At 45.4% G+C, this 26368-nt stretch overlaps 1 long non-coding RNA gene across 1 annotated transcript, besides 3 other annotated features; it reads left to right on the top strand.

The window, feature by feature from the left end:
• Nucleotides 1-6057: 6057 nt before the first annotated feature.
• On the top strand, nucleotides 6058-8022 carry LOC124904044 (uncharacterized). Its single transcript, XR_007065877.1, has 2 exons — nucleotides 6058-7782; nucleotides 7869-8022. It is a non-coding gene; the product is annotated as an uncharacterized LOC124904044 (long non-coding RNA).
• Nucleotides 17675-17724: an enhancer, noted in NCBI's record as "active region_12605". NCBI's record gives its function as "activates an Ori minimal core promoter by ATAC-STARR-seq in GM12878 lymphoblastoid cells {active_cell/tissue: GM12878}" and the evidence as "EXISTENCE:reporter gene assay evidence [ECO:0000049][PMID:35858748]".
• Nucleotides 18005-18304: an enhancer, noted in NCBI's record as "active region_12604". NCBI's record gives its function as "activates an Ori minimal core promoter by ATAC-STARR-seq in GM12878 lymphoblastoid cells {active_cell/tissue: GM12878}" and the evidence as "EXISTENCE:reporter gene assay evidence [ECO:0000049][PMID:35858748]".
• Nucleotides 18922-19201: an enhancer, noted in NCBI's record as "active region_12603". NCBI's record gives its function as "activates an Ori minimal core promoter by ATAC-STARR-seq in GM12878 lymphoblastoid cells {active_cell/tissue: GM12878}" and the evidence as "EXISTENCE:reporter gene assay evidence [ECO:0000049][PMID:35858748]".

The following is a 26368-nucleotide window of genomic DNA, read 5'->3' as shown; positions in this document are numbered from 1 at the left end:
AGCAAAGAGATTAAAAGTAAATATAGCAAAATGTTAGCTTTTCTGAGTGATGGGAATCACAAAGTATTTTGTCCTCTTTACACTTTTCTCTTTTCCAAATTTTCTACGAAGAGGATTGGTCACTTTTATATGAAGAAAAAACTTAATAAACATTTAGAGGCAGAAGATCAGCCCTGCATTTGCCCTGCACAGAGTACACCTCCCCTTGCTTGCTTTACAAGAGTTCACCTACTGCATTGATCTCGGTCATCACATGTGTAACTATTTGTCTTCCAGTCTGACTTCTAGATTAGACTGTAAGCTCCCGGAAGTCAGAGATCACTGTATTTGTCTCATTTGCCTCTGAATCCTCAGTCTAGTAGCTTGATGGGTATATATAAGTGCTCAAAAAATGTTTGTAGAATTTAACTGAATTTGTTAAATGTCTACTATGTCACCCGTGTGCTGGACACTTTGGGTGATAAGAAAATGATCCACTTATGGAGTTGAATTTAAGATGCTTCCAGTCCAGCAGGGGAGAAGACACAGGTGCATAAGTACTTAAGTCAAGACGCCATTCGAGGGGACTAGATACAATGCTCCAAGCCTTCAGAGAAAGGCAATTCCTTCCATCTACGTGCAATCAGGGACACTTTTTTCTTTTTCTTTTTTTTTTTTTTTTTTTTGAGATGGAGTTTCACTCTGTCACCCAGGCTGGAGTGCAGTGGCGCAATCTTGGCTCACTGCAACCTCCGCCTCCTGGGTTCAAACGATTCTCCTGCCTCAGCCTCCCGAGTAGCTGGGATTACAGGCACCCGCTACCACACCCAGCTAATTTTTTGTATTTTTAGTAGACACAGGGTTTCACCATGTTGGCCAGGCTGGTCTTGAACTCCTGACCTTAGGAGATCCACCCACCTCAGCCCCACAAAGTGTTAGGATTACAAGCATGAGCCACTGTGCCCAGCCTTTTTTTTTTTTTCTTCTTTTTTTTTGAGGCACAGTCTCGCTCTGTCACCCAGGGTGGATTGCAGAAGCAGGATCACAATTCGCTGCAGTCTTGACCTCCTGGGCTCAAGTGATGTTCCTGCCTCAGCCTCCCAAGTAGCTAGGACCACAGGTGCGTGCCACTGTGCCCAATTATTATTATTATTTTTTTTTTGTAGAGTCAGGGTCTCACTGTGTTGCCCAGCCTGGCAGGGATACTTTTGTGGAAGAGAAGGTGTTTGGGCTGGGGCTTTAAAGATGTCTTAAATTTACCTAGACCTAACACGCAGGAAAGGCTGCATGCCAGATGGTGGAACATTGTGTCAGTAAGAAAGCCGGGAGTTCTTTCATTATCTAGCTTTGATCGAGCACCTTTCACTGATAGCCTTCTGTAAGGTGATGAGGGTAAGGAGGAGAAACAGTTCCCTGATCCCCACCCCCAAAAGTTCACTGTTTAGTAAGGGGAACAAAAATATGAAAGACTATGATAAAAGATGAGTCAGACACAGGTATGGAAGGGAGTCCTAGACAGAGGGTACCGCATGTGCGAAGGCACTGAGGTGTGTGGGGCTTACAAGTTGGGTAGCAGCAAGAACCCTAACCAGTTGGAAGATAGAAAGGTGGTGGATGAGTAGCAAGAGGTAAAGCTGAGTAAATGAGCAGTGAACATGTCATGGAGGTCCTCACGTGCCAGATCAACACCGTTGGCTTTTATCCCATGGGCATGAAAAACCAGTAAGCATTATAAGAAGTGGAATGGGGCCGAGTGCAATGGCTCACGTCTGTCATCCCAGCACTTTGGGAGGCCAAGGCAGGCAGATCACTTGAGGTCAGGAGTTCAAGACCAGCCTGGCCAACACAGTGAAACCCCATCTCTACTAAAAATACAAAAATTAGCCAGGCATGGTGGCGCATGCCTGTAATCCCAGCTACTTGGGAGGCTGGGGTGAGAGAATCACTTGAACCTGAGAGGCGGAGGTTGCAGTGAGCTGAAATCACGCCACTGCACTCCAGCCTGGGCATCAGAGCAAGACTCTGTCAAAAAAAAAAAAAAAAATTAGCCGGGCATGGCACACTCCTGTAATCCCAGCTACTAAGGAGGCTGAGGCAGGAGAATCGTTTGAACCTGGGAGGTGGTTGCAATGAGCTGAGTTCGCACCACGACACTCCAGACTAGGTGACAGAGTAAGACTCCATCTCAAAAAAAAAAAGAAAAAGAAAAAGAAAAACAAGAGGCAGAACGACATGACCTCAGCGGTATTACAGTAATCCCAGTGAGGGTGACAACTGGCCGGAGGCAAGAACTGAAGTGAGGGCTGCTGAGGTACAGGAAAAGCAAGATACCTGAGCTTATACATTAGCAATGGAATTGGAAGGAGGTGAATGAAAAGGATACTTCAGGCAGAAAACTGGACAGAGCACTTGGAAGCAGCAGGTGGAGGGAAGAGGGTGAAACCCAGCAGGCTGCCCAGGTTTCTGGTGGAGCAACTGGATGGAGCCATTCCTGAAATAGGACGTCTGGGGGAAGAAACAGACTTGGGTGGGCCAGGTAGGCTCTGAGGGACATGCTGAGTCTGAGGTCCCTTTGGGGCATCTAACTGCAGCTGGATCTACAGGTCTCAAGCTCAGTGGAGAGGTCTGATTGATAAAAGTGCAGAATGTAAGCTACAAGCACAGTGGCTGAAGCTGTGGGTTGTAGGGAGATGGTTCTAGGGCAGTGGTCCCCAACCTTTTTGGCACCAGGGACCGGTTTTGTGGAAGACAATTTTTCCACGGACCAAGTGGGGATAGTGGGTTTGGGATGATTAAAGCATGTTACATTTATTGTGCACTTTATTTCTATTATTATTGCACTGTAATATATAATGAAATAATTATACAACTCACCATAATGTAGAATCAGTGGGAGCAGTGAGTTTGTTTTCCTGCAACTAGATAGTCCCATCTGGGGTTGATGGGAGACAGTGACGGATCATCGAGCATTAGATTCTAATATGGAGTGCTCAATCTCGATTCCTCAAATGCACAGTTCACAATAGGGTTTGCGCTCCTATGAAAATCTAATGCCACCGCTGATCTGACAGGAGGCGGAGCTCACGGTAATGCGAGCAATGGGGAGCGCCTGTAAATTCAGAGGAAGCTTCCCTCATTCACCCACTGCTCACCTCCTGCTTGTGTGGCCCAGTTCCTAACAAACCATGGACCAATACTGGTCTGTGGCCCAGAGGTTGGGGACCCCTGTCCTAGGGGACTGACTGCCTAGAGTCAGGAGAGAAGTGGGCTAGCAGGAAACCTTGGCTTCAAGAGGAGGACAGAGAACTGTCCAAGTAGGAGCATCAGAAAGGCGTGTGCTCTCGGAGGGAGGGGTATCAAGGAAGCCAAGGAGGAAATCGAGGAAGAGAGAGAGACAGAGACAGAGAAATAAAGCAAGTGGTAAGATATTAATTGTCCATTATTCTGTTCTTAGGTGTTCCTGATTCTCTTCTTTCAAATTTTGTGTATGTTTGAAACTTCTCATCATAAAAAGTCAGAAAGAATAAAGAGATCATACCCTCATTGGGGAAATGTTGTAAACATAATCAGTTTCAAAGCCTGGGCTTGAGTAGGGTCCACACCAGAAGGCAAGAAGGACTGAGTTATGCTGGATCCATGACATCAAGATCTTTCATCTCAGCCAGAAGCCCCTCGTGGCCTCATTATAATGAAGCCCTGCGGGGCAGCGCTTTCTTGCCAGCCTTACTGTGCTCCATTTCTTTAATGGCCTTTTTGCTCAACAATACAAGAGATCCAAACTGCTATTCCAGCATAAGACATAACTCACTACATTTTCTCACTCAAGCTTTCAACTCTAACTAATGGATTTTCTTTTCTTTTTTTCTTTTTTTTGAGATGGAGTTTCACTCTTGTTGCCCAGGCTGCAGTGCAGTGGCATGATCTCAGCTCACTGCAACCTCTGCCTCTCGGGTTCAAGTGATTCTCCTGCCTTGGCCTCCCAAGTAGCTGGGATTACAGGTGCCCACCACCATGCCCAGCTAAATTTTTGTTTGTTTTGAGATGGAGTCTCGCTCTGTCACCCAGGCTGGAGTGCAGTGGCGCAATCTCAGCTCACTGCAGCTTCCGCCTCCCGGGTTCAAGCGGTTCTCCTGCCTTGGCCTCCTGAGTAGCTGGGATTACAGGCGTGTGCCACCACGCCCAGCTAATTTTTGTATTTTTAGTAGAGATGAAGTTTCATTATGTTGGCCAGACTGGACCATGTTGGCCAGGCTGGTAATTCCTCTATTTTTAGTAGAGACGGGGTTTTGCCGTGTTGGCCAGGCTGGTAATTTCTCTATTTTTAGTAGAGATGGGGTTTTGCCATGTTGGCCAGGCTGGTCTCGAACTCCTGACCTCAGGTGATCCACCAGCCTCAGCCACCCGAAGTGCTGGGATTACAGGCATGAGCCACCGTGCCCGCTAATGGATTTTCTAGAGAATTGCTGTGCTGCTTTTTTCTTTCGTTTTGTAAGATTCTTTAAGGAATGAGAGTAGGGTGCTTCTGTGATCAGTAAGCAAGAACATGGGCTTTAACATAAGATGGACTTGGATTCAAATCCAGGCTTCTGTGTTTCCTGAGCTGTGTGGCCTTAGGCAAATGCCAGCCCCTCTGCGTGTCGCTTGCCTTACCTATAACACCTATGCGGCAGGTTCAGTTTAACATCAAATGCAGAAAGTGCTGCAGTGCCAGGCATGGGATAGGAATTGGGGGTAGCTGTTTTTTCTTTTTCCTAGAGACAGGGTCTCACTCTGTTGCCCAGGCTGGTGTACACTGGTGCAGTCATAGCTCACTGCAGCCTCCTGGGCTCAAATAATCTTCCAGTCTCAGCCTCCCGAGGAGTTAGGACTACAGGTGCTTGTGACAACATCTGGTTAATTTTTTAAAATTTTCTTAGAGTGGGGGTCTTCCTATGTTGCCCAGGCTGAGGGGCAGCTATTTTTATTTTTATCTACTTCTTCACTCCCTTTGCTTTGCCTTCCTTCTTTCCTCTTTCTCTATCATCCTCTTCGTTTCATTTGGGTTTTGCCTTGGCAATTTTCCCCCAAAGAAACTGGAAACCAGGCTGGGCATGGTGACTCACACATGACACTTTGGGAGGCCGAGGCGGGTGGATCAACTGAAGTTGGGAGTTCAAGACCAGCTTGGCTAATATGGTGAAACCCCGTTTCTACTAAAAAAAAAAAAAAATACAAAAATTAGCCGGGCATGCTGGTTTGCACCTGTAATCCCGGCTACTCAGGAGGCTGAGGCAGGAGAATCGCTTGAACTCGGGAGGCGGAGGTTGCAGTGAGCCAGGATGGAGCCACTGCACTCCAGCCTGGGTGAAGGGAGACACTCTGTCTCAAAAAAAAATAATAAAATAAAATAAACTGGAAACAAATGTGTGAAATTGTTGGGCTGTAGCATCACCTTTGCCACCCTGCAGTGATAGTGGAGCTAAAAGTCCCCTGAGAGAGGAGTCGTGTTGATGGTGGTTGAAGTGGGAGGGTGGAAATGGAGAAGTTCAGCCTTATATTAATAGGATCTGTAAGTAAAATTCACAAGCACCCCAACTGTGTGGTTGGCTGAGCATCACAGGTGTAAATTATTATTAACTCCATGCCCAACAGAATTCAGCTCTCCTCTATTTTTACTATAGGAAAACACACAATAGCCGTGTATTTTAATTTTTTTTCTTCTTCCGTCTGTGACTCGAGCCAAAGAGCAATAGCTGTTTTTTAAAGTTAGCATTGTGTTCAGGCATATAGTAAACATCCCTCAGTGGTGAGTGTTTTAACATTCTTTACTTTTCTCTTTTTTTGGGGTGGGGGGACAGAGTCTCACTCTGTTGCCCAGTCTGGAGTGCAGTGGTGTGATCTTGGCTCACTGCAACCTCCGCCTCCCAGGTCCAAGCTTCAGCCTCCCGAGTAGCTGGGATTACAGGTGCCCGCCACCATGCCCAGCTCATTTTTGTATTTTTTTAGGAGAGATGAAATTTCGCCATGCTGGCCAGGCAGGTCTTGAACTCCTGGCCTCAAGTGATCCGCCCACCTTGGCCTCCCAAAGTGCTGGGATTACAGCATGAGCCACTGTGCCCGGCCTTAACGTTCATTTTTCAACACGTAAATTCAGGCAAGATTAATAGAAAGAAAATGGGGTCCCAGATTGCCTCACCCCAAGCCCATCTTCTTTTGGCTTTTGGAGTATGAAAAGGGAGACGTGCTGTGGTCTCCGCCTGAAGCTGGCTCGCCCGGGAGCCCTCCTGGACCCGTAAGGAGGAGAACAAACCCTGGCAAATCCGACTGGCCCGAAGTGGATTTGCTAGAGTGACAGGCAGCAAAATTAATTCAGTAAGGCATTCGTAAGTGTATCACTTCACAAAGGAGTCAAAACTGCAGGAATCTGAACGCAAAGATGCCAAGCAAAAGGACTGGGAGAAGACCTGCCTACTGTGTACATTTGACTCTGTTTTGTGCCTTAAGAGTTATGCGAGAGGCTGACTCTAAAGTAGTTAGAATGGAGAACCCAGGGAGGCTTCCTTCAAGATGAAGAGTGAGGAGGGAAAGCTGCCAGGATGCAAGGCTGCTCTGGCGACAGGGTCTTCCCTTCTGCCCCTTAACCCTTTGTCTCTTTCTCTGTTGTCCAGTCCTCTACAAATTGTCCAGCCCACTGCAGGGAGCCAGTCTGATGGATTCAATACTTTGCCCCATCGGAGGAAGTCCTCATGGGCCACCCATCAGCCAGTGGACCTATTCTGGTCAAGTGTCCTCCCCTGATCTCCAGTGACCTAGGTGGCACCCAGTCTGGCTTGCCTGGCCACCTCCCACCTCTGGTGGAGGGCAGGCATCATGCATGTGTTTGGAAAATACATTTGATTTTAGAGTTTAATTCTGGACAGTGGTCTTGGGACTGTCTTCAATAGCAAGGATCATGTGACCAAGTCCCCATTTCTTTTCACATTTCAGCTGCCTAATTTACCCCTAAAATGTACTCTGTGTGCTGGGTGGGGAAATTCTGAACTGGCTTCTGATTCTGGCTCTCACATCAGGGGACCAGCCTTAAGACTTGGAGCAAGCCGCCACTTCTTAGGGTCCCAGTTTGCTGCCCTGTGGCACAGCAGGGTTAGGAGGGAGGAGCACAAGCTAACCTGCCATCACCCCGTGGCTGAGTTGGGATTTTGAACTGCTGTTGTTATACATAATAACTTCTATGGCTTCGGGCACCGAGAGAGGGAGGCCCTAATTCCTTTACCAGAACTCGAACACTTGTGTACATAATAACATTTTTAGGAATCTATGTTCATAGCTGGGGACAGAGTGGCAGAATGGTGAAGTGTTCCCACTGGTGTCACACCCATCTCAGCAAGAATCAGCCTTTGTCACAGACCTGCTCCGTGACCTCGGGAAGATGATCTGACCTCTCGACACCTGGTTTTCCTCCTCTGGGAAGTGGGGATATTAATAGGTCCTCCCCACCAGCTTATTGGAGGAGTAAGAGGCAACACATGCAAAGCACTTAACCAGGAGCCCGGGTAGGGACCTGGCTGTGAGTTCAGAGCCTGGGATTTGTGGGATGGCCAGTGTATGCACTTCCAGTGACTGCTGGCATTACCACAATCCTTGGTAGCTTAACACAACAGAAATCTACTCTCTCACAGTTCTAGAGGCCAGAAGTCTAAACTCCATACTGCTCAGCTGTGCACTGGCTGCGGGCTCCAGGGGAGAATCTGTTCCTGGTCTCTTCCAGCTTCTGGTGGCCAGCCGCATTCCTTGGCTCGTGGCTGCATCGCTCCAGTCTTCAAGGTCAGCATCTTCAAATCTCTCTCTGCTCCATCTTCACACGGCCTTCTCCTCGGTGTGTCTAATGTCCCTCTGTCTCCCTCTTACAGAGATACCTGCATTGGCCAGATGCAGTGGCTCACACCTGTAATCCCAGTGCTTTGGGAGGCAGAGGTGGGAGGATCACTTGGGCCAGGAATTGAAGATTATGCTGGGCAACATAGTAAGACCCCGTCTCTACAAAATAAAAAGAAAACAACTGTATTTAGGGCCCATCCATGTAATCCAGGATAATCTGCTTCCATGTCAAGACCCTTACTTAATCACATCTGCAAAGACCCTTGTATTCACAGGTTCTGGGGATCAGGGTGTGGATATATTTTGGGGAGGGAGACATTTTCACCTATCACACCCAGCTGCAGGAGGCATGTTCAAGCCGGCTGTCCTTTTTGCCTCCACTGCCCGTTTGCTGTGGAGTTGGGCCCTCGTCTCCACCAAGCTCCCCTAGCTGCCCACGCATCATCTTTCCTGCCCGAGCTCAGCTCCCCATCCTGAGACTTCCTATTTCTTCCCACAGCCACATCATTTTCTCCACCATCTTCCCCAGAACTATCTTTGACCCTTGGTGCTCCTTCCCTTTCCTGACGCCACCCCACCTACGCCTTACATCAGTCACCAAATCTCAGCATCACAGTCTGACCAAAAGGGAAACTTCTCATCTGACTCCTCTGATGCACAGAGATGGAGCTGAGCCCTAGAGATAGGGAGTGACTTGCTGGGGTCACATGGTGATTTCATGGCGAGACTGGACCATAGCCCAGGCCCCTGGGATCCACTCCTACCCTGACTGACCATCGGCAAAATGCTTCCTGAGGACGAGGCTGTCTCCATCCTTCTGTCCCTTCCTCAGCCCTGCCCTTGCCTCCCCTCCTCGGGAGGCTGCGGAAGCCTCATGGGCCTTCTCCAGCCAGCCACTCTGGCCACTCCAGCATTCCTTTCACTGCTTTCATTTGGGTCACCCCTGTGGAGTTAGCTTCAGTGTTTCCCAGTGACCTAGAAGCAAAGTCCATCTGTTGGCAAGCATTTATTGAGCATCTATTTTTATGTGCTAGGGGCTGGGGAGCCCAAGATGAACCAGGCATAGGCCCAGCCTTCAATCAGCCTGGCCCATATGCTGCCTTGGCCTGGCATTCACATTTCCACCTGCTCCTCCTGCCCGCTACAGCGACCCACCACTGCCCCAAGCAGCCTACATCCACAGCGGGACACCTGCACTGCTGCTTCCGCGTGTGCTGGCCTGCTGGCCCTGTGTGTGTAGTATCCTGGCCCCTCCTGGCCCCGTCAGAGCTTGTGCTGTCTTCAATGCCCAGCGTCTGTCCCTGCCCTGTACTCCATCCAGTGCCCTGAAGTCAGCCCCTCCGCATGTGTGCCCTTCTGCAGCCCTCTGGCCTCCGTGGCCGGGTGGCGAGTCCTGCTTCTGTCCTGGGTTAAATGAAGGCTTGGCAGCTCCCTTGCTGTCTCATGGGGTGTTTTTTGGCCTCTATCCCTCTCTCCCTCCACTCCACCCTCCCTTTTTGCTACCGCCTGTCTCTTTTGGTTTTTGCTGTTGCCTGGAAGGTAGGGGACGTCACGGTGCTCTGCACAGTAGAGGTAGCCCTGATTCCGTGGCACTGACACCCCCACCTCAAACGCAGCCCCCCATGATGTTTCGTCTCTGGGGAAGCACAGCCGTGGCTGAACAGACACAGGCGAGCCCCTCAGCCCAGGTGCCTGTCCCCACACCCCCCCAGGATCCAGAAACCTGGGGCACTCACAGGGAGTTCCTGCTCAGTCCCCAACAGGAAGTGTTCCTGCCTGTGTTAGAACTGGGCATGTCCTTGCTTTCGACCCTGAGAAACTTGTCTGGCTGGAAGGCACAGATTCCTAACATTTTGAGGGACATTTTACTTTTCCTGAGAGTTTGACATTTTATTACCTATGGCTACATAACAGACTACCCAAAAGCGAGGTACCATAAAAACAACCAAAATGCTATTTGCCCACAAATCTGTGGGTCTGGAATTTAAACAGGGGATACTGGGTGCTGTTCCCTGTCTGGGGAGCATCACCTTCACCTAGACATCATTTGCTTTGCTTAAACATTCCTGATCTTTTGCATACCCAAGAATGAGTTCCATGTTAACTTGCATCTTGCACACCCAAGAATGAGTTGAAGATGTGGCTTCATCACCCCCATGTCAGGGGTCCCGGCTGTTGTAGCTCCGGAGTCCGGAGGGTGGCTGGGTCAGCTTGAACATGTGCACATGTCTGGCTGAGCTTCTCATTCTCCTCCATATAGTCTCAGGGCCTCTCACTCTCCATGTGGCCTCTCCAACAGGAAGGTAAGGCTTGTTACCTGGTGGCTCAGGGTTCCCAGGACTACAAATGTGGAATCCACCAAGATTTCCTAAGGCGTAGCCCTAGAGCTTGTGCAGTCTTCAAAGCCCAGCATCTGTCCCTGTCCTGTTTTTTTGTTTTGTTTTGTTTTGTTTTTTGGGATGGAGTCTCACTCTTGTTGTCCAGGCTGGAGTGCAGTGGTGCGACCTCGGCTCACTGCAACCTCCACCTCCTGGGTTCAAGGGGTTCTCCTGCCTCAGCCTCCCGAGTAGCTGGGATTATGGGTGCCCACCACCATGCGTGGCTAATTTTTGTATTTTTAATAGAGATGTTGGCCAGGCTGGTCTCAAACTCCTGACCCCAGGTGATCCACCCGCCTCGGCCTCCCACAGTGCTGGGATTACAGGCGTGAGCTACTGTGTCTGGCCTCCTGCCCTGTTCTTCATCCAGCACCCTGAAGTGAGCCCCTCCACGTGTGCCCCTTGGCACAGCTGGCACAGTATCACCTCTGTCACATTCTATTGTTTCAGGCAGCCCAGATTCAGTTGAGTGATCTATAGAGGGCATGAATACTAAGAGGTGCATTTCACTGGGGGCTACCACTGTAACAGATGACTACACATGTCCTATCTTTCCAGGTGGAGTCTAACTCTTCAAGGGATGCAGGGATGTGTTCTATCCCACAGCCCCTTTCAGAATGGCTCACACCTAGGAGTTGCTTGATCTACATTCATTTTATTGAGAAGGGAACAGGGAGATCACAGACGCCATGGGGCCATCTTGGAGGGCCTGTCATGCTCCTTACCCCTTCCTCACCAAGCACTTCCTCTGGCATTGGCTGGAGGGAAAGGTAGCCATTTGGGCTATGTTTGACAGATGAGAAAGCTGAGTCTCAATGAAGTTTTTAGTTTATACACTTGCCAAGGACCAAATGATAAATTGGCAGATTGAGGTTGAAAGCCTAGTATGCTTATTTTTTGTTGAAAACTAGGGAAATAAATTTACTTTTCAGAAATTGATTTTCAGGTAAATTTCTCTGAATGCATCTAATCTGTAGAGCAACATATATATGTATTTTTTTTACATTTTTGTTTTATTATTTTTTAATTTTAATTTTTTTTTGAGACTGGGTCTCACTTTGTCGTCCAGGCTGGAGTGCAGTGGTGTGACCATGGCTCACTGCAGCCTGGATCTCCTGGCTCCTGGGCTCAAGTGATCCTCCCACCTCAGCCTCCCGCCCTGAGGAATGTGCCACTATGCTTGGCTAGTTTTCTTGTATTTTTTTTAGTAGAGAGGGGTTTCTCCCATGTTGTCCAGGTTGGTCTCAAATTCCTGGGCTCACGTGATCCACCTGCCTCAGCCTCCCAAAGTGCTGGGATAACAGGCATGAGCCATCGTGCCCGAGGGCTTGTGTTTGACCAGACATCACTCTCCATGAGTCATCCAGCACTGTGCCTTGCATGGGGACATATTTGCTATTTGTGTGGTTTGTGTCTTTTTGGCATACAGAATTACCTTTCTTTCCTTCTTGAAACTGTGGATAGGTTATATGAGCAATCATGAGGTCACCACCACCTCCACCAATTTGGAAATAGGGAACTAGTATTTCCCTTGGAGAGTGGGTGGCCAGGTTTTACAAATAAAAATACAGGGTGCTTAGTTAACTAGAATTTCAAATGAACAACCAATCACTTTTAATGTAAATATATCCCATGAAATTTATGGGACATGCTTATACTAAAAAATTACTCATTGTTCATCTGAAATTCCGATGTGACTGAGAATCCTGTATTGTTTTGGCAATTACAAAACGGTAAAACTGTAAAACCAATGCATATGGATTAGAAGAAATATAAAGTTCTAATGTAAAGAAATGTAAAGTTACCTTAAGAGATCAGAATGAGTTCTTTAGCAAGATTTGGTTACAACTGAAGTTTGTAAAAAAAAAAAAAAAAAAGGTATATTTATAAAAACACTTCTAACCTCTTGTAAGGTACCTTAAGAACATGTCAATCAGAAAGGGGGTTAGGGCCGGGCGTGATGTCTCACGCCTATAATCCCAGTGCTTTGAGAGGCCAAGGTTGGAGGATCACTTGAGCCCAGGAGTATGAGAGCAGCCTGGGCAACATAATGAGACCCCATCTCTACAAAAAAATAAAAATTATCTGGGTGTGGTGGCCTACGTCTGTAGTCCCAGCTACTCAGGAGGCTAAAGCAGGAGGATTGCTTGAGTTTGGGACTTTGAGGCTACAATAAGCTGTGATCATGCCACTGCACTTGAGCCTGGGTGACAGAGCAAGACCCTATCTCAAAAAAAAAAAAAAAGGTGAGGAGATTGATCAACAATACAAAATGAAGGGTCAAAGAGAAAAACTTTGGGCTCGGTGTGGTGGTTCATGCCTATAATCCCAGCACTTTGGGAGGCTGAGGTGGGTGGATCGCTTGAAGCCAGGAGTTTGAGACCAGCCTGGCCAACATGGAGAAACCCCATCTCTACTAAAAACACAAAAATTAGCTGGGTGTGGTGGCACATGCCTGTAATCCCAGCTACTCGGGAGGCTGAGGCACAAGAAATTTATTGAACCCAGGGAGCGGAGGTTGCAGTGAGCTGAGATCGCACCATTGCACTCCAGCCAGAGCAAGACTCTGTCTCAAAAAAAAGAGAGACAAACTTTGGTCATTCTCCTGAATGCCATCTGGAAGCATCAACTTCCAGGCTGAGATGGCTTGGATCTTATTGTGGAGATGCACTTGCCAAGTGTCTTAGTCAGCTTGGGCTGCTACCACAGAGTATCATAGGCTGGGTGGATTACACAACAAGCATTCATCACTCACAGCAGAGGCTAGGAAGTCCAAAGTCAAGTGCAAGTATAGTTGGGTTCTGGGGAGGGCTCTCTTCCTGGTCCTGAGATGACCAACTTCATGTTGTGTCCTCACACGGCTGGGAGAGAGAAAGAGGATGCACCAAACTTTGAGGGGTAGGGACCATTAGGGTCATCAACTAATTACCCATGTTTACCAAGAAAGCTTGTTATAAATTGGCTTCCCGGCCGGGCGTGGTGGCTCATGCCTGTAATCCCAGCACTTCGGGAGGCCAACGTGGGTGGATCACCTGAGGTCAGGAGTTCGAGACCACCCTGGCCAACATGGAGAAACCCCGTCTCTACTAAAAATACAGAAATTAACTGGGTGTGGTGATGGGCACTTATAATGCTAGCTACTTGGGAGGCTAAGGCAGGAGAAGCACTTGAACCCAGGAGGCAGAGGTTGCAGTGAGCTGAGACTGCACCACTGCACTCCAGCCTGGGTGGCAAGAGTGAAACTCTGTCTCAAAAAAAAACCAAAAAGGAATTGTCTTCCCGTGCCTCCCGGGAGTGAAGGTACTATCTATGAACCTATGTCCCCAGCCCTCTGAAGGTGACGATTCAATACAAAGCCATTGGGGTTTTTCTACATCATTGTCTCTATGAGCTTGGATGATATGAGGCTGATCCATTCTTTGATTCTTTTTTTTTTTTTTTGAGACAGGATCTTGCTCTGTTGCCCAGGCTGGAGTGCAGTGGCATGATCTTGGCTTACCGCAGCCTCGTTCTCCTGGGCCAGGTGATCCTCCCACTTCAGCCTCCTAAGTAGCTGGGACCACAGGTGCATGCCACCACACCTGCTTAAGCTGATCCATTCTTGCTGTGCTGGGTCACCCCCAGGTGACACTCAATGTCAGTTAGTTGTGTTTTATTCCAACAACTACACTTTGTTTTTCTGGATCGCTGCTACAGCAAATGGCAGATTCCATTTCTTCAGGATATAAATGCACAATAAGAACAAGTAGCGACCAGGCTCAGTGGCTCACACTTGTAATCCCAGCACTTTGGGAGGCCAAGGTAGGCAGATCACCTGAGGTCAGGAGTTTGAGACCAGCCTGACCACATGGAAAAACCCTGTCTCTACTAAAAATACAAAATTAACTGGGCATGGTGGTGCACTTTGGGAGGCTGAGGGGGGTGGATCACTGGAGTCCAGGAACTCAAGACCAGACTGGGCAACATAGCAAGACTCCATCTCTAAAAAAAAAAATTAAGATTAACCAGGGTGTGGTGGCATATGCCTGTAGTCCCAGCTACGTGGAGGCTGGGGTGAAAGGATTGCCTGAACCCAGGAGGTCAAGGCGGCAGTGAGCTGTGAGAGCACAGCCTGGGCAACAGAATGTCACCTTGTCTCTAAAAAAACACAAAAACCAAAACAAAACAACTCACTGCATTATTTTAAAAAAAACATATGTATCTTATGGGCCGGGTGCGGTGGCTCATGCCTGTAATCCCAGCACTTTGGGAGGCCGAGGTGGGAGGACTGCTTGAGCTCAGGAATTCAAGGCCAGCCTGGATAATATAGTGAGACATCTATACTACAATTCAAAACAAGAATAAAAAAATTAGCTCGGCATGGTGGCACACACCTATAGTCTTAGCTGCTCAGAGGGCTGAGGTGGAAAGAATGCTTGAGCCCAGGAGGTCAAGGATAAAGTGAGCCCTGATTGTGCCACTGCACTTCACAGAGTGAAGAGTGGGTGACAGAGTGAGACCCTGTCTCAAAAAAAAAAAAATAGCTAGGTAGATAGATGTATCTGCAAATGATTCTTAGGAGCAGCCCAGGCCTAGAGAGTTAAACCACCCATAGTGACTCACATCAACAGGCTCTTTTGTCAGAGGGCATTTCCATAATTAGAACTTGTGACCAACAAGTCCAGCCACGAGGATATATCACAAGTACTTGTCTCCAGCGCTGGTTTCTTAGCAAAAAAAGAACCTGTTAAATGTCAGGGCTTTGTGTTTTTGCCTTTGGGCTTTTGCCATGCCTGGTTATTGGGCACCTTCTGGTAATAAACAGTTAGTTGAAAGGAGCTGTTCCCATGTCTTATTTAATTCTCTCATTAAGCCTGTGGGCCAGAGGTTCTTATTGTTCATACCCCTGGATAAACACACTGAGTCCCAGGGAGGTAAAGTGCCTTGGCCGAGTGCCACCCAGGAGCTGGTGGTGCCTCAGCTGAACCCAAGTCCACGGACCGTGGAGTTCGCGCCCTCTCACTGTGGCACACGGGCCTGAGCCTCAGGAACACTGCAAAGTAGGTTGGCTTCCCCCTTACGGAGCCCCTACCCGGGACAGCCTCAATCCCTCAGGGCCCCTCTGTGCCCAGGTGCCTGCTTGGCTGACTGGGCAGCCTGGAGAGAACAGTGACCCAGAAATGCAAGAGGAGAGTTTCCAGGAGGACAGAACACTGGTGCTATCAGGTGCCAGGAGCAGCGTGTGCCACGCATGGCCCTGCTCTGCTGTGGCTTTGTGTTTTTGGTACATGCTGTGCCCTCAGCCTGGGCTGCCCTGGACTGGCCGTCCCTACCCCTCCAAGACTTAGCCCAAAATCATACTTTTTTTTTTTTTTTTTGAGATAGGGTCTCACTCGGTCCACCAGGCTGGAATGCAGTGGCACAATCTCGGCTCACTACAACCTCCACCTCCCAGGTTCAAGAAATTATCCTGCCTCAGACTCCCGAGTAGCTGGGATTATAGGTGCCCGCCACCATGCCTGGCTGATTTTTGTATTTTTAGTAGAGACACGGTTTTGCTATGTTGGCCAGGGTGGTCTCGAACTCCTGACCTCAGATGATCCATCCGCCTCGGCCTCCTAAAGTGCTGGGATTACAGGCGTGAGCCACTGCGCCTGGTTTCCAAAATATTACTCTTTTCCCCAGAATGGAAATACAATTATTATTCAAAATATAAGAGTAATCTTGGCCAGGCACAGTGGCTCACGCCTGTAATCCCAACACTTTGGGAGGCTGAGGCAGGTGGATCACGAGGTCAGGAGTTTGAGACCAGCTTGGCCAATGTAGTGAAACCTCGTCCCTACTAAAAATACAAAAAATTAGCTGGGCGTGGTGGTGGGCGCCTGTAACCTCAGCTACTTGGGAAGCTGAGGCGAGAGAATCGCTTGAAGCCGGGAGGTGGAGGTTGCAGTGAGCCAAGATCGTGCCACTCTACTCCAGCCTGGGCGACAGTGTGAGACTCTGTCTCAAAAAAAAAAAAGAAAAAAAGAGTAATCTTAAAAAATAAAAATATATGTTTTAAAACTTTTTATATATACATGTAAAATGTATATGCATATTATATATATGTTCAAATGTGTGAATGTATTTTTGTATTTATAAACACTTAAACTAAAATATGTAAATTTATGTATAAAACTATAAAATATGAACATGATATTATACTATGTATATATTTTGTAACCCTCATTTTCACTCACTACAAAATAAATGTATTTTATATGGTAAGTATAGATTTACCTAATTTTTTCAAGGTAAATAGTTTAAAAAATATAAAACTAGTAAATGCTCATTGCAAAAACAAATTGCTAAAAAATATCAAGAAGAAAGTAAACAGCACAAAAAGCCCTCCTTCTAAAGACAACCATTATTAACATTTTGGCAAACATCCTTTTTTTTTTTTTTTTGAGATGGAGTCTCGCTCTGTCACCCAGGCTGGAGTGCAGTGGTGAGATCTCGGCTCACTGCAACCTCCGCCTCCCTGGCTCAAGCGATTTTCCTGCCTCAGCCTCTGGAGTAGCTGGGATTACAGGCATGCACCACCACATCCAGCTAATTTTTTTTATTTTTATTTTAGTAGAGACGGAGTTTCACCATGTTGGCCAGGCTGGTCTCAAACTCCTGACCTCAAGTGATCCGCCCACCTCAGCCCCAAAAAGGTTGGGATTACAGGCGTGAGCCACCGTGCCCGGCCCAAACATCTTTTTTTACACACATATACACCCATATTTTTATATCAATAGTCTCAAATTATATATACACTGTTTTGGGACTTTTAAAAAAATTTCAGCAAGACCTTGTGGACATCCTTCCATGATAATACGCAGAGCATGAGATTATTCTTTTAAATGATTACATAATATTTTATTGTGAGAGCATAACTTTATTGAATTTATTTATAAACACTAGTGGCGAGCATCCATTTTTCAGCTTTTCACAATTAAAAACAACACTGTGATGAGCCATCCTTATATATGGATTCTTTCTGGAATAAGAAATAAATGGACTGAAAAATTAGAATGTACAATTCTAGAGGTCCCACGTTGTCAAATTATGTTCAGAAATGTGCACCGCGAAAAAGTCTAAAAGTTCAGCCAAGATTCACATGGGTCATTTCTGGGCAAAAGGACCAGGCATGATTTTGTTGTTCTTCCTATTCTTCTGTCCTCCTCAGCTTTTCTATTCTAAGTGTGTCCTTCGTTATGCTGATGCAAGTTGGCAATTTTACATTGCACAAGAATATATGGTTTTAATCCACGCAAGTGTCGCCTCTGACGATGCTCTCTTTCCAGTTCCTCCTGCACCACACTTGCTCTCATCATCTGCTACAGGGGAGGGACCTGCTAGCCCTGTGCCTAAGTTAGCACCAGCAGGAACCCACAGGTGTTCAGTGGGGAGTCGCTGACTGCCTTGGAGAAGCGTATTTGAGACAAGCTGTTAATGGCTCACGGTCCTAGGGTAACCCCCTCGGCTGGCACCTGCATTTAGGACAGCAGTGAGCCAAGCAGTTTCCAGCTTGTGGGAAAGAAGCTTTGAGGGGTCCCTAAGGGCAAGAAGGCCTTTCCTGGCTCAGTCCAATCAGATACCTGCTGTGGCTGTGCTTCTTCTGGCCACAGGTCCCTGTCTTTGTTGGTTCCCTGCACTGACCTGGCCAAAAGGAAGCTGCTTGCTTCTGGGCAGCAGCTGTCCCCTCCCCCAGAAAGTCTAAAAGGACACAGAGGACGTCTTCAGTATTTCCGTAGAGGTCACAAGCTAAGTGGGTCGCTGTCGCTGTTTTACGTTTGGTTGGTGCTGAGACACTTCCTCTTTCATTTATGTCTTATTCAGGCCACCTCCTCCATCCCCCTTGAAGACTGAAAAAGGGGAACTTGAAAGAAAAACCGAAAATTTCAGACCGAGCTATGGTGCAGGAGACCATGCTGTCATCCTGAAGCAGAGGCTGGGGACGTCACCAAGAGGATCACAGCATCCTCGAGGGTTCACTGAGGCCACTGCCCAGGCTTTCTTTTCTTTCTTTTTTTTAATAGAGATCAGAGTCTTGCTAGGTTGCCCAGGCTGATCTCAAACTCCTGAGCTCAAACAATCCTCCCACCTCAGCCTTCTAAAGTGCTGGGTTTACAGGCTTGAGTCACTATACCGGGCTGACCAGGGACTTTCTTCCTCCCCTCATTCGAACTTTCTTAGCTCCCACTCAAGTCTTCCTAAATGCTATGTGGTATTCTTAGGACTCCTAATTCCTAATTTTTCAGGAAGTGAAATGATATTCTTAAAGTAAAAACCAAAATCTGCTTTTGCTCAATTCTTTGAATTTACTGTATTTATATGCCATATATAGAGAGAGAGAGAAAGAGAGACAGAAAGAGTGCATGTAGATATACACACACAAATGTATACACACACACACACACACACACACACACATCAGATTGTGGTAGCTTTTGGAAACTCTCTAAGGCACAGAAAATAAGTTGCCTGACAAGACATCAAAGAATTGCAAAAGAGGCCACAGCCCCAAAGGCCTTACTGACTGCTTTGTGATTTGTAGCATGACTGCTGATAAGCATCTATTTGCTTCAGTAAATAGAAGTTGAATCATAACATTTGTTCCAGGAAACAGTAACTGAAGTCGCAAATCATAAATAATAAAGCATGAAAAATCTTCTTTTAACCTAATGGACTAAAAGATTTCTTGCTTTTTTCATTTCTGCTAATGGCCTCTCTCCCTTGGCACTGCCAGAGCTGGCCCATTAAAGGTGAATTGAGCCTCAGTTTGCAGGCAGGACGTGGTCCAAAAGATCATTTGTAAGTTGGTTGTTTGGATCAAAGAATGTGTTTTCTCCTAGAAACCGTTTTTCTCAGGGTGACTGGGTTCTCAGGTTCGCTCGCACAGTGCTGTTCAACTTCTACTGAAGCTGAGCTCTGGGTCTTTGAGGGCAGGTTCTCTGCAGTGCAGGAGGGAGAAATCAGGTCACCTGCTGCTCCTTTGCATAGAGACCTGGCTCTGAGCACAATTTAAGCATAAGTAGTTTTCTTTTCTACTTTCTCAACTCCCTTTTGGCGTCCAGGTCCAGGGCCGTAGTCCCTGGATTGCAGCACCCTTTCCTAAAGTGCTTTACCCACCTCTGGGCTGCTTGCCTGCTAAGGGGGGTCTGGGACCCCAAATTACCCACTATTCCTGCTTCCTGACCAATCAGACTTCCATTTCCTCAGAGCAGTTGATATCAGCTAAGGGCCAGGGGAAAAGCAAAAGGAGAAGATATGAATTCACACTAGTAGGTGAATCATGGAGAACCTCTTAACCCTCTTAATATCTTCTCATGTTAAAATGAATTAGTTGTGAGACTTGAGAGTCCTTGTGGCAGTATGGGTTAGGGATGAACACGGTGACTAAGGATTCGGAATTCACACACACATTAGTAGGACTCTTAGGCTCTTCACTGCACCTGCTTCCAGAACACTGGCAGTCAGTTAGGAAATGATCCTACTCTGGAAAAAAAATGCAATGGTCGCAGAGAAGAAACTTTCAAGTTCAGACACTGGGGAGAATCCCCTCAGTGAATAAGCTGATTATCTGCCAGATTGCCTCTGAGAATAAGCCACATTCATGCACACAGAACCCCCCACCAGTTTTTTGTGCCTCATAATGAAATCTTAACAGATAGCCAAAGATTACCAGATGTTTATGGAAAGTTCTAACATGAAACAAAAAGACCAAAACAGAGGAAACAACAGAACAAATCTTCAAAAGTAGTATAGTTACTATCTATAGAGAAATAAGAAAAGGCATTTTATCCATGAAATAGGATGTATTTTAGACTTTCAGGATGCCGTAACAAAATATGATACACTGGGTGGTTTATAAACAAAGAAATTTATTTCTCATGGTTCTAGGGACTGGAATCCAAGATCAAGGTGCTGATTTGGTGTCTGGGGAGGGCCTGCTTTCTGGTTCAGAGATAGTGTCTTCTTGCAGTGGCCTCACGTGGAGGAAGGGGTGAGCTGACTCCCTTGGGTCTCTTTTATAAAGGCACTAATACTATTCATAAGGGTTCCATTCTCATGGCCTGATCACCTCCCAAAGGTTCCCATCTACAAATACTATCACGTTGGGGGTTAGGTCTCAACATAGAAATTTGGGGGGACACAGACATTCAAACCATCGCAGGGTGCAAAATAAAATAATCATAACAAGAAAGGGATTTTGGCTATTGAAAAGCAGAATAGTTTAAAGTAAGTATTCAAAAGAAAAGATAGAAGATAATTTATAAAGTCTGGGCACAGTGGCTCACACCTATAATCCCAGCACTTTGGGAGGCCGAGATGGGTGGATCACGAGGTCAGGAGTTCAAGATCAGCCTGGCCAAGATGATGAAACCCCATCTCTACTAAAAATACAAAAAAAAAAAAAATTAGCTGGGTGTGGTGGTGGGTGTCTGTAATCCCAGCTACTAGGGAGGCTGAGGCAGAGAACTGGTTGAAACCAAGAGGTGGAGGTTGCAGTGAGTTGAGATCGCACCACTGCACTCCAGCCTGGGCAACAGAGCGAAACTCTGTCTCAAAAAAAAAAGAAAAGAAAAGAAAAAGAAAAAAAATAATTGATAAAAACTTCAGAATGTAGTACAAAAAGATGGAAAAAATGTGAGAGATAAGAAAATTTGAGGATCTATTCTGAAAGTCCAACATCCAGCAAGAATGGAGGGAAGGAAATTATCAAAAAAATAATACCAGAAAATTTCTCAGAATGAAAGGATAAGAGTCTCAGTATCAAAGGGCCTGCTAAGTGAGCCACAAAATGAATGAGAAGAAAGGTTCAGGCTAAGGCACATCTTTATAACCCTTCAGAACGCTAAGGATAAAAAGGAGACCCTATAATCTTCCTAAAAATAACAGATAACATACAAAGAACTAGGAATCAAAATGGCATTGAACATCTCAGTAGCAACATTGGAAGTCAGAAGAAACTGGAGCAAACTGTTTATAATTCTGAGGGGAAATGATTTGCAATCTAGAATTCCACACCAACTCAATAAATTCTCAATCAAGTATGAGGGCAGGATAAAAACATTTTCAGATGTCAAAGTTCTCAAAATATTTATCTCTATGTACCTTTATTCCAGAAGGTTCTGGGGATGTGCTACTGAAACCAAAGGAGTAGGCCAGGAAAGAGGAAGACAGAATTTAGTAATTTAAGAAACAGGGGATCCAACAGAGCAAAGTGTAGTTGCAGTCCTAGGAACAGCTATGCAGTAGGCCCATGGATGACCAGTATAGATAGGAATGTGGAGATGAGGGTACCCAGAAAAAAAATGTAACTAGTGTAAACGGGCCATGTAGAGAAGCATTAAAAAACAAAGTAAAGAATCAGAGAATCATAAAAAATAAGGCACATGCATGTTATATAGTTTTTTAAAAGAAAATAAATAATAGAAATCAAGTGATGATTAACTCTAGGCAAAAATAAAGAGGTTCTACAAGAAAGAAAGCATGGTCATAGTACACTACTTGGCTCTGTAGTACACAATGTTTGCATAATCATCATAATGTAAACACTGACCACCAGATTCAACCAAAATGTGTGATATAATCACCAGAGGAATGAGAGGTAGAAAGTATGATGTATGAGAGTTAAGTCCTCATCTCTCATGGCAATAAATTAACAGATGCTACCTAAAATCAAAAGATCAAGAAATCTCACTATACACACATTGTTGAGAAACATGGAGATAAATACCAGAAAAAACAGCCAAGGAGTTGAGAACAGTAGCCTCTAGGAAGTTGGCCTATGGGGTGGGGACTATTACTTTTCATTACAATGCTTTTAGTACTTCTTAGCTTTTAAAAATGTATATTTGGAATATTTTCATATATATAGTAATTTTATTATTTATTTATTTTTTGAGACCAAGTGTTGCTCTATTATCCAAGCTGAAATGCAGTGGTGTGATCTCAGGTCACTGCAACCTCTGCCTCCCAGGTTCAAGCGATTCTCCTGCCTCAGCCTCCCAAGTAGCTGGGACTACAGGTGTGTGCCACCACACTTGGCACACTTGGCTAATCTTCTGTGTGGTTTTTTTTTTTTTTTTTTTTTAGCAGAGACGGGGTTTTGCCACATTGGCCAGGCTGGTCTCGAACTCCTGACCTAAGTGATCCGCTTGCCTTGGCTTCCCAAAGTGCTGAGATTACAGGCGTGAGCCACTGCACCCGGTCCATAAAGTAATTTTAAAATAAAGTCAACAAATTAGGAAGACAAAGGATGGCTTGGTTGTTAATCTAAATGAATCTCTAGTTAGTGGTATGTTGGTGTAAGTAAAATTCAGAGACCATAGAAAAATAGATTGAGGAGCAGCTGAAAGCCTAGGCAGAAAGACAGAGGCAGAGAACCACCTAGAAAACATGGAGAAGCTGTTATGCCCAAGGGTCATTTGTATATTTAGGAATGCCTAAATATTAATACACTACTGACTTGTTAAATTGCTTTCTGACTGTAAAAGTAATAATACTTATTGTAGAAAGTTTGGAAAAGGCAAATTAACAAGTAAAGCAGGAGAGAGAGAAATCAAAACCACCAAATATCTCATTATTCATAGATTATTACTTATCAGCACTTTCTTTTTTTTTTTTTTTTGGACACAGAGTGAGTACAGTGGCACGATCTTGGCTCACTGCAACCTCCGCCACCCTGGTTCAAGTGATTCTCATGGCTCAGCCTCCCGAGTAGCTGGGATTTCAGGCGTGTGCTACCATGCCCAGCTAATTTTTGTATTTTTTAGTAGAGATGGGGTTTCGCCTTGTTGGCCAGGCAGGTCTGGAACCCCTGACCTCAGATGATCTGCCTGCCTCAGCTTCCCAAAGTTCTGGAGTTACAGTCATGAGCCACCATGCCCGGCCAAGCACATCTTTTTAAAACAAAAATAAGATTACAACATATAGGCCAGGCAAGATGGCTCATGCCTGTAATCCCAGCACTTTGGAAGGTGGAGGCATGCAGATGGCTTGAGCCCAGAAGTTCAAAACCAAAACAAGCCTAGGCAACATGGTGAAACCCCTTCTCTACAAAAAACACAAAACATTAGCCAAGTGTAATGGTGCATACCTATAATCCCAGCTACTTGGGAGGCTGAGGTGGGAGAATCACCTGATCCTGAGACGTCCAGGCTGCAGTGAGCTGTAATCACACTACTGTACTCCAGCCTGGGTGACAGAGTAAGGCCCCGTCCCAAAAAAAAAAAAAAAAAAATTACAACGTGTAAACATTTCTGTGTCACACTTTATTTCCCCTTAGCATTTCTCTAGGTCACTACTGTCTTTGAGAAATGATTTTTTTTTTTCTTGAGATAGTCTCGCTCTGTCGCTCAGGCCGGAGTGCAGTGGTGTGACCATGGCTCACTGCAACCTCTTTCTGCCAGGTTCAAGCGATTCTCCTGCTTCAGCCGCCTGAGTAGCTGGAACTACAAGCATGTGCCACCACACCTGGCTAATTGTTGTATTTTTAGTAGAGACCGGGTTTCGCCATGTTAGCCAGGCTGGTCTTGAACTCCTGACCTCAGGTGATCAGCCTGTTTTGGCCTCCCAAAGTGCTGGGATTACAGGCATGAGCCACTGTGCCCAGCTGAGAAATGATTTTAAATAGATGCTTAGTATTCTAACATATGAATGTACATGTAATTTATGGTCTATGATTAATAATTTATGCTTTTCCAGTCTCCAATAGCTGGATATTTTGATTGTTTCTAATTTTCATAATTATAAATAATATTTTGTTGACTATCCTTAACCATAAGTCTGTGAGATCTCTTATTGGGTCAATAGGTATGAACATTTTAAAAGCTATTAATACTCCATGTCAGGTTGTTCACCAGAAAGATTCGACCTGTTTATACACTCCGCCAGGACAGTCTACCATCATTGGACATTATCATCAAATACAACTTTTTAGTAACCATGTTAATGTATCACACAATCAAAAAAAGATCAAGGTTGGGGGGAAATTCATAAAATGGAATGCAAACAAAAATAAATGAACCTAACTATATTTCATGTTAATAACAATACTACACTGAAGGGCAGAATTGGGAGGGGGAACTAACCTAGGTAGGTAACTTGAACACAGTTATTTTAATATATATCCTCTGGCTATAAAGAACCTTAAATACATACTAATTGGTAGAATTGTTTTCCTGCAGTGCTATGGATTAGGAATTCTGAAATTATTTTTAGTACATATTCTAGTACAGAGCAAATAAATAAATAAATTGTGAATAACAGGAGCCAGGTTTCTCTCTACTGATGAAGGACATCATACATATGGAAAAATGGAAGGCTAGAATGAATGAACTCTGTGGTGTCAGGCTGGACTGGAATTGGAAATGTCAGTATGGACTCATGTTTTAGTTGTACTGTGGCTACTTACGAAAATGTGCTTGATTTTTGGGAATATACTATGAGGTATTTAGGAGTCCAGGGCATCATGTCTGCAACTTACTTTTTTTTGGAGACAGTCTTGCTCTGTTGCCCAGGCTGGAGTGCAATAACGTGATCTCAGCTCACTGCAACCTCCGCCTCCTGGGTTCAAGCGATTCTCCTGCCTCAGCCTCCCAAGTAGTTGGGATTACAGGCATGTAACGCCACACCCTGCTAATTTTTGTATTTTTAGTAGAGATTGGGTTTCACCATTTTGGCCTGGCTGGTCTCAAACTCCTGACCTCAAGTGATCAACCCACCTCAGCTTCCCAGAGTGCTGGGATTACAGGCGTGAGCCACTGCACCCGCCCCCGGCCTGCAATTTACTCTCAAACAGTTCAGGGAAACAATGTACATTTACATATAGAGAGAGACAGAGATAAAGACACAGAAAGAAAGAGAATGATAAAGAAATGAGGTAAAATGTTAAGTACTGGGGAATCTGGGTGAAGAGAATGCAGGGATTCTTTATACTATTTTTGCCACTTTTCTGTTAGCTTGAAATTATTTCAAAATAAACACTTTGGCCAAATTAGCAGGTAAGAAAACATTATTAGAGTGGTTTTCCTTTGAGTTCATTCATGTGTTCAATAAAGTTGAACACATGGATGTTAATGAACCATTCGGATTATATGGTTCATATTTTTTGCTCATTTTTATGTCATGGTGTTTTTCCGTGTTGATATGTAAAAGCTATTTTTAAACCCTTCATCTGCCGTATATGTTACATTTCTTTCCTGATTTCTGCCACCTTCTAATGTTGTTACCAACTTTCTTTTCCAACCTTGGGCCACTGGCATATACACTCATTTCTAAATATCAGAACTTGTAGTGTTCTTTGAAATGCAAACAGCCTATGGTTCATTTTGCAACTGCATATTAGTTAACAGGCAAAAATACCTTAGTAAGAGAAAGTGTCTTTTCCTTCTAATGAAAAAAAAAAAAAAAAACTAACCCCCCTGAAGCACTAAGGTGTTTATTTATTTACTTTTTTGAACAGGGTCTCACTCTGTTGCCCAGGCTAAAGTGCTGTGAATCATGGTTCACTGCAGCCTCGACCTCCCAGGCTCAATCCATCCTCCCACTTCAGCCTCCCAAGTAGCTGAGACTACAGGCATGTGTCACTACACCTGGCTTTTTTTCTAGAGATGGGGTCTCCCCCTATGTTGACCAGGCTGGTCTGGAACTCCTAGGCTCAAGTGATCCTCCTGTCTTAGCTTCCCAAAGTGCTGGGATCATAGGCATGAGACACCACGCCTGGTAAGTTTTTTTAAAAAAATAAATATTAGACCATGCAGAAACATGCTATCCTAAAATTTTTGAGCAAGTACAAAGTTCACGATTCAGAAATTTAAACAGTTTAAATGCAAAATGAAGTTCTTTTTAATGAATACCAAAAAACTGTCAGGAGATCGAGACCATCCTGGCTAACACGGTGAAACCCCGCCTCTACTAAAAATACAAAAAAAAAAAAATTAGCTGGGCGTGGAGGCGGGCACTGGTAGTCCCAGCTACTCGGGAGGCTGAGGCAGAAAAATGGCCTGAACCCAGGAGGCGGAGCTTGCAGTGAGCTCAGATACGCAACTGCACTCCAGCCTGGGCGACAGAGTGAGATTCCGTCTCAAAACAACAACAACAACAACAAAAAAAAAAAAAAAAAAAAAAAAAACTGACTG

Source organism: Homo sapiens, chromosome 17 (assembly GCF_000001405.40).
Source record: "Homo sapiens chromosome 17, GRCh38.p14 Primary Assembly".
NCBI classification, from domain to species: Eukaryota; Metazoa; Chordata; class Mammalia; order Primates; family Hominidae; genus Homo; species Homo sapiens.
This window is presented reverse-complemented; position numbering and strand designations above follow the sequence as displayed.